General features: G+C 57.1%; 1 protein-coding gene across 3 annotated transcripts in view, besides 7 other annotated features; it reads left to right on the forward strand.

Annotated features, from left to right (window-relative positions):
* Nucleotides 1-17,790, forward strand: part of SPNS2 (SPNS lysolipid transporter 2, sphingosine-1-phosphate) — a 40,155-nt gene that overhangs the window by 4,885 nt on the left and 17,480 nt on the right. For 2 of the 3 annotated variants that reach the window (XR_007065260.1, NM_001124758.3), the window contains exon 2: nt 9,482-9,547. Coding sequence is in view for 1 of the 3 variants with exons in the window: in NM_001124758.3 (NP_001118230.1) it covers nt 9,482-9,547 (66 nt within the window). In the remaining 2 variants the exon portion in view is untranslated. Of the gene's footprint in view, nt 1-5,696; nt 5,928-9,481; nt 9,548-17,790 lie in introns of those variants that run through there. The other variant, XM_047435339.1, reaches the window with a different exon arrangement.
* Nucleotides 44-544: an enhancer, noted in NCBI's record as "H3K4me1 hESC enhancer chr17:4407104-4407604 (GRCh37/hg19 assembly coordinates)". NCBI's record gives its function as "activates a minimal SCP1, AML or CMV promoter by ChIP-STARR-seq in primed H9 embryonic stem cells {active_cell/tissue: H9 hESC(primed)}" and the evidence as "EXISTENCE:reporter gene assay evidence [ECO:0000049][PMID:30033119]".
* Nucleotides 545-1,045: an enhancer, noted in NCBI's record as "H3K4me1 hESC enhancer chr17:4407605-4408105 (GRCh37/hg19 assembly coordinates)". NCBI's record gives its function as "activates a minimal SCP1, AML or CMV promoter by ChIP-STARR-seq in primed H9 embryonic stem cells {active_cell/tissue: H9 hESC(primed)}" and the evidence as "EXISTENCE:reporter gene assay evidence [ECO:0000049][PMID:30033119]".
* Nucleotides 1,106-1,775: an enhancer, noted in NCBI's record as "H3K4me1 hESC enhancer chr17:4408166-4408835 (GRCh37/hg19 assembly coordinates)". NCBI's record gives its function as "activates a minimal SCP1, AML or CMV promoter by ChIP-STARR-seq in naive H9 embryonic stem cells {active_cell/tissue: H9 hESC(naive)}" and the evidence as "EXISTENCE:reporter gene assay evidence [ECO:0000049][PMID:30033119]".
* Nucleotides 1,776-2,444: an enhancer, noted in NCBI's record as "H3K4me1 hESC enhancer chr17:4408836-4409504 (GRCh37/hg19 assembly coordinates)". NCBI's record gives its function as "activates a minimal SCP1, AML or CMV promoter by ChIP-STARR-seq in naive H9 embryonic stem cells {active_cell/tissue: H9 hESC(naive)}" and the evidence as "EXISTENCE:reporter gene assay evidence [ECO:0000049][PMID:30033119]".
* Nucleotides 5,681-5,740: an enhancer, noted in NCBI's record as "active region_11542". NCBI's record gives its function as "activates an Ori minimal core promoter by ATAC-STARR-seq in GM12878 lymphoblastoid cells {active_cell/tissue: GM12878}" and the evidence as "EXISTENCE:reporter gene assay evidence [ECO:0000049][PMID:35858748]".
* Nucleotides 8,434-9,080: an enhancer, noted in NCBI's record as "H3K4me1 hESC enhancer chr17:4415494-4416140 (GRCh37/hg19 assembly coordinates)". NCBI's record gives its function as "activates a minimal SCP1, AML or CMV promoter by ChIP-STARR-seq in primed H9 embryonic stem cells {active_cell/tissue: H9 hESC(primed)}" and the evidence as "EXISTENCE:reporter gene assay evidence [ECO:0000049][PMID:30033119]".
* Nucleotides 10,437-11,094: an enhancer, noted in NCBI's record as "H3K4me1 hESC enhancer chr17:4417497-4418154 (GRCh37/hg19 assembly coordinates)". NCBI's record gives its function as "activates a minimal SCP1, AML or CMV promoter by ChIP-STARR-seq in naive H9 embryonic stem cells {active_cell/tissue: H9 hESC(naive)}" and the evidence as "EXISTENCE:reporter gene assay evidence [ECO:0000049][PMID:30033119]".

Here is a 17,790-nt window from a genome sequence, read left to right on the forward strand (position 1 = left end):
GGAAAGGCAGAGCCTTGCCCTGGGGGAGTCCTTTTCTGCCAAAGAAGCTGAGACTGGTATCCATGGCAACTGCTCACTAACACAAACCCAGAAGGAGCGATGAGCATAGGGACCCAGCTGGGAACACAAGCCGAGAGGGACTTGGGGGCTTCCCCAGAGCAGCTGAGCTGGGTGCAGGAGGAGGGGGTGCCAGGCTGGGGCTCACTCTCCTATTGGCTTTTTTTTTTTTTTTGGTCTGTCCTGTTAAGTCTATCCAGAATTGAAAGATGGGGAAACTGAGGCCCAGGGTCTTTTACAGGGTCACCTGGTGGGTAGGGGCTAAGCCAGGCCCTGTCTTGTGGCTCTGTGGCTCTCTCTTTAGATAAGGATGGCCACCTTAAGGATAAACAGTGCCCCTGCCTTGCCCTCTTAGGTGGCCTTGTCCTGGCCACTGCCACATCTGCACCGTGGAGAAACCCCAGCTGAGGTGTGAGGGGCAGGGCATCCAGAGTGTCTGACTGGCAGGCTCAGCACCCAGGTGAAGCGCCAGGTGGTCTAGAATGTCAGCGCCCTTGTGACTAACTGCCTGCTGCCCACTTCCTTGCTCCTGCTTCCTTTTCAAGGCACCTTCCAGCAGGCTCTGCCAGCCCCTCCGCTGTGCTGTCATCCATCAGAGGAAGTGCTTTGAAACATAGTACCTTGGTCTGGGGCCCTGGACCGGTGATGGGCCTGGCCTGTGCCTCTGTTTCTCATTTTGTGGATGAGGCAGGAAGGCTGCAGGTCTGCAGGTGATAGCCTGTTCTGAGAGGGAGGCTGCCCTGTTCAGAGCTGCTCAGAGGAGGAGCTCCTTGTCCCTTCCCCAGAACCTTCTGCAATAGGAAGTGGCTTTTGTTTCTGCCTGTGGGGGCCTGAAATCTTGAAGGTAGAAGGGGGATGAGAGTGAGGGAGTCCAGGAGAACACTGGCCCGATCCCTAGGCTTCTGGGGCTGGGCTCCCTCTTAAGCTCCAAATGTCTTCTGGGCTGAGCTTCCTGTTCCTGGCTCTGCCAGCCTTCGCCAGCTTTACTGTGTGACTGGAGGCAAATTCTGACTCTCTCTGATCCCTGAATCCATGACAGATGATTTTTGTCCCTCTCTTGCTGTTGTCAGTGTCTTGGTCCCAAGGATAGTGTGGTGCACTTGGTCTCAGGAACTCCAGTCTGCTGGTCCCTGGCTCTGCCTGCACCTCCTTTCCCCAGGACAACCAGATCTGCTTCCCGGGAGCTACAGTAGCCAACTGCGCTTGTCCCTGGTGGGTCTCAGCGGTGTCCTCTTTCCAGGATGCCGTCTCCAGTGCTCTGGGTTGAACCAAGTGCCTAACTCCCGGTTTTGAACTGTGCTCTGCTCCGCCTCCATCACAGCACCTATCCCCATGGAGAGTCACCATCCCCCTCTAGCCATGGTCACACCTGGGACCCCCGCATGCATAGGAGACTGCCCCAGGCTTGAGCTCTGTTGACTGAGTCACAGACTCAGTTGACTGAGACTTGGGTTGACTCATACCTGCCTGACCCAAAGCACATCCTTCTGGGCTGAAAGGGCACTGGTAGGTTTGGACAGCTCAGGTGAAGGGCCAGGCCCCTGTGCTGACATCAGGGTTTCTCCGACAGTGGCTGGTGCTGTCTCTTTGTTCTGACCAGGGCTCACAATGAGCCTCAGGGCCTGAGTCTCCAGGAAGGAAATGGGAGGATGTAGTCAGGCAGTCCCTGTCTACCCAGTCCTCAGCCCTGACAATGAGGCCGCGCAACCCCCAAGCTGGGCAGAGCGGCTTTTCTACATGGCTTTTCTACATTCAAGAGGGCACAGTGGCAGCTTTGCCCTGTCTCTTCTGCAGATAGGGCTGGCCCAGGTCACACAGTGAGGCCGTGTGAGGAAGAGCACCGGTCTGCTCTGGGCCTGGTCCTCGCCTGGTGGCTGGGAGGTTGGTGAGTGGGGCCACAGGGGAGAGGAGAGGAGAGCATCGGCATCGGGGCAAGAATCAAACCTGGAACGAGGCACTAGCCAGAGCTTGGAGGCTGGGGACAGGGTCCTGTCCTCCTGCCTCCCGCTTTCCTCTGCCCTCTTGGAGCCCATGCTAGGGTCTCCCCACTCCCACTCCTAGAGCCACGAGGTCTTCGTGATTCCTTCCCTGTCAGGCATGGGGTTCCTGAATGGGCTTCCAAGAGGCAAAGAGCAGGATCAGGCTTTGTCAACTGAAAAGGGCTGTGCCTGGGGAGAGGTGGGGTTACTTGGTCACACAGCTGTTTCCAGCATCCGTGTGGGGATGCTAGGGTGTTGAGGGGTGACTGCTTGCAGCCTTTTTGTGGGGAGTTGTCGGGGTGCAGGTGGGGAACACAGGCCAGATGTGGGAGCCTGGGGACCAGCTCGGCCTGGCTCCTGCAGCCTCTGTCCCGCTCACCTTCTGCACGTCAGCTTCCATCCGAGGCGGGGAGCAGCAGTCCCTGGCCGCCTTGGCTACTGAAGTAGCACGTGGGGAGAAGGCTGAGGGTTTGTGGGCTTGAGGGGAGCCATTCTGAGGTCTCTTATCTCTTCCCCACCCTCTTCCCCAGGCCCCTGCCTTATCCTGTGTCTGGCTGGCATATCATGACCCACTGGCCACACCCCCTGTGGGTCACGATAAGGCTGTGGCCACCTTATCCCTGGCCCCTGGTGGTCTTGGGAGTCCCTGGGCCAGGACAGGGCTGGGGAGGCTGAGCTGGGGAAGGAGTAGCCGTGCAAAGCCCCCAGATTGCTCAGGCAGAGCCTGGTTCCAGTAAAGCTGGCCCCAAATGATAGACTAGAACCACAGGCCAGAGGCCCGGCAGCCCGGCCCCGCCCACTCTTGGCATAGAGACACAGCAGGGAGGAGGGGGACACTCTGAGCTCCAGGGTGGTGTCTCTCTAGGGCTAGCGGGGTCTGCGGGCAGGACTCGTGGGTGGGGAGGGGTGTTTCTCTAAGGGGCCAAGGCTCTGGGCTGGGGGCCTCATCCTCATGGTCTCTGCAGAGACTGATCAGTAAGCTGCTCTGCCATTAATGACCCAGATTTGCAGGGTGGCTTGGGAGTAGGGGACCAGCAGATGTAGAACAAACCCAGTTGAGATTCAGAAATGAACCCAGCAGGGATGTCTTGGGATTCTGGGCCACTTCTGAAATGGGCAACCTGAGGCCCAGCTGCTCCTGAAGATCACAGCCTCCTGCGGGCAGACGGGGGCAGGATCTTGCCCTGGGGAAGCCTGGGGGTGAGTAGGAGTGAGTGTGCCTGAGTCCAGAGCACTGGCTCAGGGACTGCCTTGGCCCAGTCCCTAGGCTGGTGGGGTGCCAGCGGGGCCGGGCTGTGGGTTCCCAGCCTTAGCCATCCAGCGCCAGGTCAGCAGAGCCAGGCTCTCAGGCCCCTGTAATTACCGGGGTGGGAGCTGCAGCCAAGCGGGAGCAGGGGTAAGACTCCCAGCGTGAGCCAGCACTGAGGCCTCCACATGGGGACCTGGGTCCCTCTGAGAGGGACTGGTGAAGGGCATCAGGGCCCATCCTTTCAGATTGCTAGGCCCTGTCTTTCCAGGCATCTGCCCCCATTTTGGATAAAAGAAAACCAAGGTGGGAATGCCCCATTGTTCTCAGGTCATAGCTGGGGCTGTGTCCTGTCCCACTAGTTAATTACAAATGATAACATTTATGACATTTATTGAGGACCTACTATGTGCCAGGCACTATTCTAAACACTGAATGTGGATTAACCTACTTAAACCTCACAACAACCATATGAAATGAAGCAGGTCTTCAAATTAAGCCATATTACAGAGGAGGAAACTGGCACAGAGAGGTTATGTTATTTCCCCAAGGTCACACAGCAGAGAAAGTGGGAAAACCAGGATTTAAACCCAGATGCTCCAGTTCCAGAGCCCATGCTCTTGAGAATTTAGCTAAGCCACCTGCTGCTCTGAGACAGGCTCAGGTAGGGTGAACGTGGGCTGATACTGACTGTGCTTGGGGAAAGCAGGGGGTACGCGGGGACAAGCTTGAGTGCCAGGTGCCCTGTCTGGGCTGCCTAGGAAGGAAGAGACCTCAGGATCACGCTGTTGGCATCTTGCATTTGAGGCTGGCCTGAGCCGAGGGCTCTTGAGGTCAGTGTGGATTTCCTCTTACACCTTGGCCTTTCGAGGATTCTGTGATGTCAGCAGATTGGGCCTGGCTGGAGGAGGGAGGAGGAGGCCAGAAGTCCTGGAATCGGGGCTTGACTCCTCTCGGGGCTACTGAAGAACCAGCAGTGATGGGGAATCACTGTGAGTGTCTGGGGCAAGCTGTTGAGTGAGTCAGGGCCAGAGTCCATCCAGTTCTGGGGGTGCCCTTGAGGTTACAGGCACCACTTCACCAAGAGCCTCAGAGGAGAGAGGCGCAGGTATCCTGGTAGACGCGACTTTGGATCTGCGCCCTAGAGGTGAGGCAGGTCTTAATGGCTAGAGAGGGATAGCCTAGGAAGAGGCACAGCTGTGGCCAGGGCTGGGCGGCCTACAGCCTGTGATGTGTGATTCCAGGGAACTCAGAGCAGCCTGGCCAGTGGTTTCCAATCACCTGGGCAGTGCGTTTATAGATTCTTAGGTCCCACATCTAGAAAGGGTGACTCTGCAGATTTGGGGAGGGCCCCAGGAAGCTGTATTTTAATAAGCACCTTCCCTAAAGGTGATTGGGATTCTCAGGCAGGTTTGGGGATCTTCCCAGTCTCTGCATTTACACAGGAAGAAATAGGGGTCCAGGGAGGTGAAAAGTCATGGCTAGCAGCATTTCCCTTTGCCTGGAGTCAGGGGCTGTATGTGTGTGCGGTGGGCACTGTGGTTGGGAGAAGAGCTGGCTTAGGGCCAGACCGTGGAGGCCTCAGATGCTAGAATTCTGGGCGGCAATGGGGCTGCTAAGTGTGAGTGGGCAGCCGTACCCACTGGGCCAATACTCGTAGAACAGCGCCTGGCACAAAGTAGTTGGTGGATATGTGTCAATATGTGCATTGTCGCTGTTGTTATTGGTACCATTACTGAGCCAGGGGTCTGGGCCAGTGGATCTTAAAGGACTGATGGACGACTCTGAGGCCAGAGGTCACCAGTGGGCCACAGCGTTAGCTCCTTGAGTCCAGGCACTGTCTCGGGGTCTCTAGAGGCCCAGACCAGGACTTAGAACTCAGTAGGAGATTCGTAAGAGCTTGTGAGATCAGGCAGCAGGAGGGATGCCGGCTGGCCGGCAGGGGCTGGAGGCAGGGAGTCCAGGGAGGAGGCTGGACGATAAAGCAGATGGAGAATCACCGGGGCCCATTCATGAGGTGGAGGGAGCCAAAGGGGTATCCTGGCTGACTCCCAGGGTCCTGCAGTGTCCTACAGGGTCCGCTCAGGGAATGGGGACCCAGTGGTGAGCTGAGGAATCAGTCAGGAGGCTGGGAAACAGGGATGAGAGCGTCCAGGGGTTGAGCCTCCAGGAGGTGGTTGGTTTCAGAGGAGGAAAGGAGGTGAGAATATTGACTTGGGAAGGGAAAGAACTCTCCAGAGTTCTTAGCCAAGTGTCGTGGTCCACGCCTGTGGTCCCAGCTACTCGGGAGGCTGAGGCAGGAGGATGGCTGGAGCCCAAAAGGCTGAGGCTGCAGTGAGCTGTGATTGTGCCACTGCACTTTAGCCTGGGTCAGAGAGCAAGACCCTGTCTCAAAACAACAACAAATGCTGTCACCTGTGAAAGGAGGAGAGGAAAGGAACAGCTGGCAGAGGGGACAAGTCAGAGCTGTTCTCACCACCAGGGTGAGGGAGGTGTGGGCGTGTTTGTGGGCTGCTGTGCAGGAGCCGGAAGCCAGGGAGAGGCTGAGTGCACGGGCCCAAGCCAAGGACTGACCCAGCGCAGCCTCCCTGCCAGGCGAGAGAGACTGTTGGCCCAGAGTAGGGGACGTTGGCCTCAGACAAGAGGTGAGACCTCCTGGGGCTTGGGAGGTACGTAACTTGTCAATGGATGTTGTTCCAGAATGTTTTCTTGGGTGATGAGAACCCTGTGGCTAGGAGACGATTCCAGCTGTGGATTTGGGGTATGCCTGGAGAGGCCTGCATTGTGGCTGTGTTGGCTGGGGTCTGCATCTGGGGTAGGAACCCCACTTTGCATGCACGCCTGGCGGGGTGGGCTTGGCCTGAGCTGTGGGAGGCTGCTCCTGGGCGTGAGGCCCATCCTGTGACCCACCAAACCTCAGCCTCCAGGAAAGAGGCTAAAAATAAGGCTGTGGTGAAGAAGGGAGGGGTGCGTGGGCCTGAGCCGTGCTGGAGCCCAAAGGAAAATCTGAGGCGACCCGCCGAGCTGCTGTGACACACGCTTCCCGTGCCAGCGGCCAGCGGGATCTCACCCTCCTGTGGCTGTGGCCGCCTCCAGGCCCGGAAGAGGGAAAGCAAGCCAGAAAGGTTCAGCCCAGGTCCGACCTTGGGCCTCGCAGCCTGCAGGAAGCCCTGCTCCCTGGGAAGGTTCTCTCTGGTCTTCTTCCTGGAGCTTGGACTTGGACCCAAGACTGGGCGCTGGGGAGTGGTGGGACGGGAGCAGGCCATGTTATCCAAAAGCTTCCTGTGTCCTGGGAACTGCCCAGGACTTCCCAGAGACCTTAGACGCCCATCTGGATGTGGAGGAATGTTCTCCCTCTACCAGGAGCTCTATGTGGTAGGAAGTCAGGGGAAGGCTTCCTGGAGGCAGAGGCAAATCCTGGACCTTGAAGTCATCGGATGGGGAAGTGTGCCGCTGGATAGCTGGATACTGCAGGGAGGAAGCGAGAGTGCTTTGATTTGCCGTGGACACAGGATGTCATCATGATGGCTATTTTGATATGGCCTCCCTCCCAGAAATGGAACCTGCAGTTACTGCAGACCCGTGTCCCTCCTCTGGACTATGGATGGGGACCCTCCTGCCTCCTCCTGACTCCGCCCATCCTCTTGTCCACCCGACACCAAAATCGTGACTGTCCCTGCTCTGAGTCCTGGAGATGACCGGCCACGGCTCCTGCCTGGCTTGTGGTCTAGTGGAGGATGAAGAAACATTCACCCACGTGTAAAGTCCCTGTGGGTTATGTGTGTGCTGGGCCCTGGAGGACACCAGCAAACCACGCAGAAGGCAGCGTGGCAGGAGAACGAGCTTTGGTTTTTGGCAATAGACCTCGTTTCAGATCTCACCTCCAAAACAGAATGTACTGTGTGACAAATTACTTCATGTCTCAGAGCCTCGGTTTCTTCCTATATAAAATGGGATGAGAATCATAAATACCAGCACAGATAGTGAGGACAGCGTCTGTACCATCTTCAAAGCCTCACGCAGTTCCTTGGAACTTAGCGGGAAGCGGTAACTAGCGGCTCTCAGCTCAGGAGGAGCTCATAGCTGTGCTTCTGTGTGCATTCCCTATAGAACCCACTCATCCTGGTAGGCCCAGTGCTAAAACGAGTTTGGACAGGGGAAGAGTGGGGGCAACTAACTTATTGAGGGTGGTGGGAGGGGAGCAAGCAGGGGAGATATTCCAGAACAGGAGGCATCTGAACTGGCCTTGAAGAAGTGGCAGGAGTGAGCCTGGTTGACGGAGTTGTACCAGAATAGAAGAGGAAGTGTGCAGAGTCAGGGGGCCATGAGTAGTTTGGGGTGGCTAGTGGAGGGGTGGTGTCCTGAGAAGTGAGGCCGGAGGGCGGGGCTGGCAGGGCCACACCTTCACCCTGTGAAGTGACTGTGCCACAGAGGGATGGGATCAAACCTACACATCAGGAGGGGGAACAGAGTCCTGACCCAGAAAGGAATGGGTTGTGGGGCTGTGAGCCTCTGGGGCTGGGTCAGGGCACCTCAGAGGTCCCTCTTGCTGGCTCTGCCATCCACAGGCCTAGGATTGGCCCCGGCTTCTACCTTCAAGGCAAAGCCACAGCCTCTGCCTTGGTTATTAAGTCATTAACTGGGCCTCACACAGCCTCTTCATTACGGGTAATTATGGTCAACCCACTCAGGGCATTAACAAGGAGGAAGACAGCTTCTCTGGCTGTCAGGCTGCTGGGACATCCGCCCGTCTGTCCTGCATTCCGGGAAATTGCTCAGGATTCCAACCTGGGTCTCGGAAGGGACAGTGACGTTCCAGCCTCCCCACTCCTTCCACACCCCCAGTCCCAGCTGCCAGCAGGATCCTCATACAGCACCTGGAGATTCCACTTTTTCCTACTTCCCTGTGGTGTGACTTTGAGCCCACAGCCTGACTTCCTATGCTCCAGTTTCCTCATCTGTCAACTTGGATCCTAGTACCAGCCTCCTAGGGCTGTGTGGGGATTATACAGGCATTTAATGCTCAGTTCGGCAAACCATCATCTGTTGAATGCTGCCATCATCATCGTCATCATGAAGAGCTCTGGAGTCCCCCAAAGGCTTCTGTCCCTGCCTGTAAGGCCCCCAAAGGCAGGGCCATCTCCTCTTCCTTCTTCCGCTGTCCCTTCTCACTGCAGATGTGCTATGGTCAGCGGGGCTCTGGCCTGTGCCCTGGGTCCTCCTGTCCTCACAGATAATGCAGGCAGGGACCCTGAGGCCCACGGGGATGGGGGTTGTGCTTACTCAGGAGCCCTGGCTGAGTGCTGCGAGGGGTAGGAGGTCCAAGATCCTGCCTGTCCCCCAGAAGCCATGGCTCTGCCAGTCTGCTGGGGCTGTGGGTGGTTTCTGGGTGGTCCAGCTGCTGCCCCCACCCCGTGACGTGCAAAGCCCTAAAGTAGTTGGGCTTGGAAGCGGGTGTGGCCTCAAGAAATCCACTTCTCCCAAGAAAACGGGCCTGGAGCCCCGCCTGCTTCCCTCTGTACCCTGGGCCAGAATCTGAAAATGGAGGGGCCCGGTTATAATCCTGAGGGCAGCTGGGGTGACAGTGTGTGTGTGTGCGTGCGCGCGCACGGGTATGTGTGTGCGCGCGTGGGTGTGTATGCATGTGTGCAGGTGTGTGCACACACGTGCGTGCGTGTGCAGGTGTGTGTGTGCATGTACAGGTGTGTGCGTGTGTGTGCGAATGTGGTTGTGCACATGTGCAGGTGAACCAGAGTGAGCGGCTGCCCCTCCCAGGCCAGAGGGCTCCCCGCAGCTTTCAGGGCCCCCGCTGCTCTCTGAGTCATGGGCTTTGTGTTCCCCCTGAGGGAAAGGCCTATGTCTATTGCACTGATCCACGGCCTGGGCCGCAGGTAGGGAAGAGGCCCAAGCTGGCAGATAGGAGGTGTGGTTGCCCATGGGGCAGAATGACCGCAGAGGAGCCCTGCCTTTCCCTGCCCCTCGGGTCCTTGTGAGTGATGGGAACAGGCTGAGGACAGGAGGTCCCCGGGGAGGCAGGAGGGAAGCCTGGGAAACCTGGGCAGGGTAGAGGTCGCAGCAGAGCAGGAGTGCCGCAGATATGGCCAGGCTGGGCCCTGCAAGGCGGGAAAGAGGCTGGGCTGGTCTGTGGGGACACCAGCCATCAGACTCGGCCAGTGAGCACCCTCTGTCTTCCCTCCAGGCGTCCTTCTGGACATCCAGCAGCACTTTGGGGTCAAGGACCGAGGCGCCGGCCTGCTGCAGTCAGGTGAGGCCCACCTCCCACCTTCCCCCCCACGCCCAGGCGTTGGCGTCGTGGGTCCTGTCCTGTTGGTCGTCATCTGCCACCCGGTCTGTCTTCCCCTGTCCTGACTCCTGGAAAGAGAGTGGGCTTTGCATCCCAGTCTCACTATTGCCACCTGCCAATGGCACTGCTTCTCTGAGCCTCTGCTGCTTTTCTTGTGTAACAAAATGAATAATACCTGCCCTGAGGGGCTATGGCAGGTAAAGGAGAGTGCAGGCAGAGGTTGCAGAGGTGAACTTTCTCTGGGTCCTGGGGCCTCATCGGGACCCAGTGATCCAGGCTCCCTCCTGAGGCTGGTGCAGGGAGCTCCTTAATTCAGTAAGTTGGGCAATGCCAGCAGAGCCGTGGTGACCCTGTTTTTATCTCCTGCCCTCCCCCACATTCCTTCCAATATCATCAACCCTGGGAATCGCCTCTTAGGTGACGAAGCAAAAAACTCCAGCTAGTCAGCCCCAGAGCGGTTCCCAAGCCCGGGGCAGGCGCCTGAGAATCTGGGCCCTGGACTGGACGTGGGCCTGAGGTTCCCTACCACCCTCTCCCCTGGGGCCCAGGCTTCTGATGGGCTGCCAGAGCAGGGCCTGAGCCCCCAGGCTGCTGGAAGCTGGGCCGGGACAGTGTGGGAGGCCATTAAGCACTTATGGCAGCCCACCAGCCCCTCCCTCCAGGGAGCGTGCCTCCCTTGTCCCTGCCTTCCCCATGACATGGCCCTGTGGGAGCTGGGCCCTTGGCTCCCTGGCCTTCCCACTGGCTGAGGCCATGTTGGCGATGCTCTTAGCAGCAACCTTCAGGCCTGGGCAGAGACTAAGGCCAGTGCTGCCACTCAGGGCTTGGGGCGGGAGGCCTGGTCCTGACTCTGCCCTAGTCATGCTGTGTGGCCCCAGCCTGGATCCTGCTTTCTCTGGGCCCTTGGCCCTGGAGTCCATCTGGCTGTGAGCCCCCGTCAGATGCAGGATGAGGTCCCCATGGTCTGCATTCCAGTCCAGTCGGTGAACCCCTTCCCCTGCCTGGGCCCTCCTGGGAGGGAGGGGGTGGAGTGAGCTCGTTCTGTCCAGGAACCTGCCTGACCTGTCTAAGTGGCATTCCAGTACTCACAATCCCTCCCGAGCTCACAGAATGCCACAGCCACTCCCCCCACCTCCCTTCCTAGCTGTCCTTACAGCCCAGATGGGGACTTTGGGGCTCAGAGAGAGGGGTTGCGATGGTTCTCAGGCTCAAGTGAGACTTGACTGTTCTAGGATGGGGCAGGGCCGTGCGGTCCAGTATCCCCTATAGGTGGCCAGGTCCCTGCCCTGGCAGACATCATGTTTTCCCAGGCCATGAGCCCAACGCCTCCCCTACCCCTTCCTGGGTCTCCCTGGCTAGGCCAGAATAAGTCTGCCTGCCCTGCCGCCTGAGACAGGTTCCTCTAGCCCTCTGGGCTGTGTGCATGCAGTGACCAGCACTGCAGCTGGGAAATGGAGTTCCAGCCACATGGGCGCATGGGAAGGAGTGGGCTGCCAGGCTGGCAAGGAAAGGGTGGGAGAAGGCCTAGCTGCCCAACCCCCGCCCTGTGTGGCCCCTGACTCACTGGGGACCTGGCCCGAGCCTCATCCCCCTCCTGGTCCCGGCCTCACTGCCTCATCTGGAGCAAGGCTCTACCCCACGCATCCTCCATTTAATGACCACTGAGCATGGTCGGGGCCAGCACAGCCCAGGGAGGGGGCGGGAGGTACAGGGAATGGTGGGGAGGGTCACAGGCCGGGCAGGGGGTTGGGGGCTCGGCTCAAGGCAGGTGTGAGGGTTCCCTGGTTCTTTCTGCGGTTCTGTCCCAGGCTGGCTTCTCGGGCTCATGAAAGAGAAGTCACTCCGTCCCTCCTCATCCCGGTGGCCTGGCTGGAGGTGGACAAAGCACACACAGGCATTGTCTTGTTTCATTCTTCCAGTAACCCTACGGGCTCTGTTTGTCAGCTGCACTTACCAGATACAGGGACAAAGGCCCAAGACAGGGAAATGGCTTGCTTGAGGGCTGGCAGTGGAGAGCAGCCGGCCTGGAATAGGGACCTGGGCCTCTGCCTCTGCTGCCCATAGGCTGGGGGGGAGCCTGGATACCTGGCATCTCAGTGTCCCCAGGGCGGGTGCCTCTGGGCCATGGTGAGAATTGCCAGCATTCTGAGGGACCCTCTAGTCTGTACACCATGGCCCTCACCTGTCACCTACCCCGGCACAGCTAGGATGGCTCCCCAGGGTGCCCTCACCCCTTTGGCCACCTAAGCCAAGAAGCCAGTCGAGTAGACCATGATGTTACTCAGTGGACAACTAGGCAAGTCACATAATTGGCCTGTGTCCCAGGCACCTGTGCCTTCCCCAAGCCCGATAAGGTCGGAGCCAGGTGGAGGGCGCCAGCCAGGTGTTGGTGCTTGCCCAGATCAAAGGGCCAGGGCTGAGAGCTGGGCTGCCTGCTTATTTGTGGCACCAGGGGCTGCTGGGCCAGGAGACAGGGAGTGGGGGTGGCTGAGGGTTAGGCCTGGGCTTGCCCCTGCTGTTTCCCTCTTGGGACCAGGCAGGAAAACTGCTGAGGATGAGCCCACTTTCAGCAGCCCCTTTGCAGATTAGATGGCTGCTGGTTTGGACCTGGCCCCTGGACCCCCTGCAGGAGCCATATCTCAGGCTCTCTGAAAGCCCACAGCAGAATTACAGCTCATAGGCTGGGCGCCTATGGCTTACGCCTATAATCCCAGCACTTTGGGAGGCTGAGGCAGGTGGATCATCTGAGGTCAGGAGTTCGAGACCAGCCTGTCCAACATAGTGAAACCCCATCTCTACTAAAAATACAAAAATTAGCCAGGTGTGGTGGTGGATGCCTGTAATCCCAGCTACTCGGGAGGCTGAGGCAGGAGAATCGCTTGAAGCCAGGAGGCGGAGATTGCAGTAAGCCCAGATTGCGCCATTGCACTCCAGCCTGGGTGACAGAGTGAGACTCTATCTCCCCAAAAAAAAAAAAAAAAAAAAAAAAAAACAAAAAAACCGCTCATAGGTTTTGCTGTTTTGGGAAATCAGGAGCCCCCATGGCCTACACCTAGAGAAGCAGCTGCCACTGAACCTACTGCCTGGCAGGCCGTGTGCTGGGCTCTGCCCAGACTCAGTTCTTACCCTCAGGTAGATTCCCTCTATCTATGGGGGCAGAAAACGTATCATCAAGCCACCACCCAGGCACAGGGGGCTGTGGGAGCCTGGGTGGACGGCAGAGAGCGTGCACCTAGCTCTGGCCGGTGGCCGCGGAGAACACTTCCCTGAGGAGGAGACGTTTGAATGGGGCTTTGAAGGATGAGTTAGAGTTTGTAGTCAGTGTGTGAGATCGAGTAGATGTGTGAAGCCCTCCTTTCCCCTCCAAGCTAGATAAAATATGCCAAGAAAACATGTTGAAATTACAAAGCTGAGCTTGACAGCTAAAGCTAGCAGGGAAATTCCCAGATGCCAGAAGCAGAGAGCTGAACTCAAAAACCGGAGTGGGAGCTAGAATTGAAGCCAAGTGATGCAGAGTGTTTAGGGACCAGATAAACGTCTTCGAAGCTTGTTACGGTATTTTCAATATAAACATTTTTATCATGAAAAATTTTAAACAGACATAAAAAGTAGTGAGAATGGCGCAACGAACTTCCATAGAACACATCACCCAGATTCATCAAGGGAACGCCCGCCTGGCTCAGTTTCCGGGCCTGGGGTTTCTTCGTTCTAACCGTGGGTGATTTTGTTTCCATCCAAGCTTCCTGATTCCAAGCTGTGTCCCCAGGCTGCTGGGTAGTTTTTCTGGTAGAGTTCCCTTTCGAGAATGGGCATTTCCCACCTGGCGCTGGCTAGTTCCAGCCCCTGCTCCGTACAGGCCTGGGGCTTCCACTTCCTTCCCCATAGAGGCCCCCTCTGTTTCCAGGGACCCTGGCAGAAGCAAATCCCAAACCATTCCTTAGGGAATTCTTCATGACCCAGAGCCTGCATGGGACACGGGACAATTTCCACTGAAGACAAACTCAAATTCAAAATTAATAGAGCAGGCCAGGCGCGGTGGCTCACACCTGTAATCCCAGCACTTTGGGAGGCTGAGGCGGGTGGATCACCCGAGGTCAGCAGTTTGAGACCAGCCTGAACCAACATGGTGAACCCCATCTCTACTAAAATACATAAATTAGCTGGGCATGGTGTGGGCGCCTGTAATCTCAGCTACTCAGGAGGCTGAGGCAGGAGAATCGCTTGAACCCAAGAGGTGGAGGTTGCAGTGAGCCAAGATCACACCACTGCACTCCAGCCTGGGTAACAAGACCAAGACTCCGTCTCAAAAAAAAAAATTAATAGAGCATACAGTTCTCCCTCATTTTTTTGAGAGGGAGTCAGCTGACCCTGAAGATGGGAAAACAGATTCGTCACAAAGGGACTTTAAAATTAGGTGTGTTTAATATTCAAAGCTCTAAAGGAAAGGATAGGACTTGTAAGACAAGAACAGAACATTATGAAAAGAGAACCGGAAAATGTTTAAAAGACTAATATTCGAAAATACCAGAAGTGAAAAATATGTATTAAAATAAAAAATGGAATAATTAGGTGAGTTAATGAGTAGACTACACCTAGTTGAAAAGAAAAGTGAATTAGAAGCTAGATCTGAGGAAATCAGCGTCAATGCAACACAGGGAAGGGTGAGGGAGAACGAAGGCTGTTTGTGGCACTGCCTGACTCGAGTGGCCTGTGGCCCATTGGCCATGGGTTGGCGTATGGGGAGAACAGAAGGAGAAGAGGCTGGACAGTGGGCAGGGTCTGAGTGTGAAAGGCTTGAAGGCCAAGATAAGGCATGTAGGTTTTGTCTTGGGGCAGTAGGGAGCCAGAGAAGGTTTTGGAACAGGGCAGTCCGTGTAAAATGTGTGTCTCGGGCCGGGCGCGGTGGCTCACGCCTGTAATCCCAGCACTTTGGGAGGCTGAGGCGGGTGGATCACGAGGTCAGGAGATCGAGACCATCCTGGCTAACATGGTGAAACCCCGTCTCTGCTAAAAATACAAAAAATTAGCCGGGTGTGGTGGCGGGTGCCTGTAATCCCGCTACTCGGGAGACTGAGGCAGGGGAATGGCATGAACCCAGGAGGCGGAGCTTGCAGTGAGCCGAGATCGCGCCACTGCACTCCAGCCTGGGCGACAGAGCGAGACTCCGTCTCAAAAACAAAACAAAAACAAACAAACAAAAAAGATGTGTGTCTCAGGATATTCATTCTGGGACCAAGTGTGGGAAGGGGCAGCAGAGGAAGCTGAAGGCTACTCAGGGCCGGGGTTTGTAGGCTCACGAGGAAGTGCCAGGATGGGGATGGGGGAACGGAGGGAGAGTGGGGACAGAGGAAGAGCCAGCTCAAACCGAAACCAGACAGTGCCTCTGTTTTGGGGGTAAGTCTCCTTCTGCCTGTTCTCCCCTCCCGTCTTTGGCCAGCCCAGCGACTCCTGCTTCAGCAGACTTGGGTTCTGAAGGCACAGCCGGGCAGCCCCTGCGGCTGTTCCCCAAAGCCCTCCTTTTCAAGGAGTGGCCCCAAAACCTCATTCACCCTGAGGCCTGAGAGCCCAACACAAGGTTTACATCCTGAGTAGGGGATCACAGAGCAGGTGTTCCCGTCCTTCCACCGGGAAGTCTGAGCGTGGTGAGCTTTCAGGCGCTGATGGGGCCATCTGTCCTGAGCATTCTCCGTCAGCTTGGCCAGCCCAGGCCGTCCCTTGGATGGCAGAGCCTGGCCCCCGCCCCACCCATGCCTGCCTGAGCACCCTCCCTGCCCACAGGATGTGGAGGATGGTAGGTCTTCTCCAAATAACAGATCAGCCATGTAAAAATAGCCGTGGCTCAGCCCAGGCCGAAGCAAGGGCTGAATGCAGGCTCCAAGGCCACAGGGCGGGGGCTCAGGGCTCCCTCAAGCTCAGACTTGCCCTTTCCTGCTCCAAAACTGCTTTCTGGGGTCATACAGGCCATGTGTGCCATGGGGATGGCTCCGCTCACCATGGACAGGGGTCCTGGGGCTGCCCACCAGGACACCGAGGGCCCGTGGGGGTTCTGAGCTCTGGGCTGCCGTGAGAGGTGGACAGCACTGGCTTTCTGACGGCCTCCTGCCAGCCTGGCGAGGAGGAGGGAGTGAGGCCCTGGCCCAAGACCCCGAGGCAGGCGGGCTGGTCTGACCCCTCCCTCCCTGCTGTCACGGCCCTGCCCGCTCGGCCCTGGCTCCCTGCCCTGCCTCTCCATTGTCCTAGACCTGTGGGCTCAGCACACCCTCCACAGGATGTCCCTGCGGGAACTGCTGGGAAAGCCGCCCCTACCAAAACCAGGGGTGGGGCTGCCAGTCTGCCCAGAAAGCTCTCCTCAAACAAACAAAGACCACGGGATTGCGGGGTGGTGGGCAGGGGAAGCTTCTAGCTTGGAGGCCCAGCCCAGGCTGGTCTTTATTCTCAGCAGAGTTGCCTGCTGGCCTCTGTGTCCCCATCGGACACAGTCCACATGGGCAAGGCTTCGCCTATCCTGTCCCTTCTGCCAGGAACATTCTCTCAGCCCCCTCCCCGTCCCTACCCTGATTGTGTTCAGGCCCCTCCATGGCCTGTGACCTCCAGGGGGCCAGGCGGGGTCCTCCCTCCTGTCTGTCCTGAGCAGAGAGAGGGCAGCAGTGATGGATCCCACCTCCCTCCTGACCCTGGACTGCCATGTCCCAAGGGAAGACACTGAGGGGCAGGCTGGTCCAGACTGTGCCTTCCTAATTTGGTCTGTCATCTCGGGCAACTTCCTCCACCTCTTGGGGCCTCAGTGACCTCAGCTGTTAGATAGGGATGGACGTGGGGAGGATCAGGTGAGCTAAGGGCACGTAGGTGCTTGGGCAAGTTCATCAGGCTGGGGCCGGTGGGTGGGGACGGGGCGTGCCAGCTTCTGCCAGGAGTCCACCTGCAGTCCTGGGGACTTCTGCCCATCTAAGTGAGGAGCCAGAAACCAGGGAGGGGTTGAAAGAGCTAAGAAGGGCCCGTGCTTCCTGCTCCACTGTGGGCAAGAGGAGAGAATGGAGCATGATGGCCGGGGTCTGGCGAAGGTCTGGGTCACGTCCCTCCAGTCCCTCGTCACCCCCCCGGGAGGGGGCTTTTTCAAGGATCCTACCATGGTGTTGGGGGGCGGGGTGGAGAGAGCGCGCTGTGGTTCTCTGCCGCCTTCTAAACACCAAACCCTGTCCTGGTCTTTAGCCCAGTCCTCCCTCCACAGCCTCATCTCTCGCTGCTTCCTCTTGAGCATCCTCAGGCCATGGCCTGACCTGTCTCCTTGCTGTCCTCAGCAGGCCCTGAACTTTCCCTGACCTTGGGAACATCAGCTGGGACCTTCCCCCTTCCCAGCATGGCAGTCTGGGGAGTGATTTAGAGCAAGGACTCTGGAGTCTGCCAAACTGGGATTTAAATTCTGGCTCAGCCGCACACTCGCTGTGTGACATCACTTCTTTTGGCCTCCATTGTCTCCTCTGTAAAATGAAGAGAACAGAATCAAAAGAGATCATCTGTGCATATGTCAAGGCTGCATGCTGGGCCTTGCCTATATATCCATAAATAATAACTGCAGTTATCATGAACACTAAGCATCATGCCTCGTGAACCATTATACAATATTGCTGATCTGAAGTTTATATTTCAGCGTATATTCTTGATGTTAAGTATTATCTTAGCGGTAAACTCCTATGCATGCTTCAGTGCCCAGCTTTGTCACCACCGCCTCCGGGAAGCCTCTCTTCATTATCCTGGCAGGATCTGGAGCTCCTTGGTGGTTCCCCAACATAGGTTGTCCTTTAAACAGAGCAACCTATGAACAAGATCTGCCCCTGGCCAGACAGGGGGAAACTTCTCTTCTGATTCCTTCTGTCCACTTGCCACCTAGCACAGACAGGCACAGGGAGAACAATTCCTCCTCCTCCCCCAACATGTGTCAGTCCTGATGCAACTGGAAATCTCCCTCCTGCCACATTCTGATCTGATCTCAGGCAGGTCCTTGGAGGCAGGCCCAGCAGGAAAAATTCTTTTTCTAAATGTGAGGAAATAATTTCTGCCTTGACTAATTTAAACAAGGGCCCAGTGTTGACCAAGGCCGGCCTGCTCTGGGCAGGGTGTGGCATTAAGCACCTTGCACGTGCTATCCAGCACCCAGACCCACCCTGGAGAGCTGCTATTTTTATCTTCATTTTACAGATGAGGAT

The sequence above is a fragment of the Homo sapiens genome, chromosome 17 (assembly GCF_000001405.40).
Source record: "Homo sapiens chromosome 17, GRCh38.p14 Primary Assembly".
Classification (NCBI taxonomy): domain Eukaryota; kingdom Metazoa; phylum Chordata; class Mammalia; order Primates; family Hominidae; genus Homo; species Homo sapiens.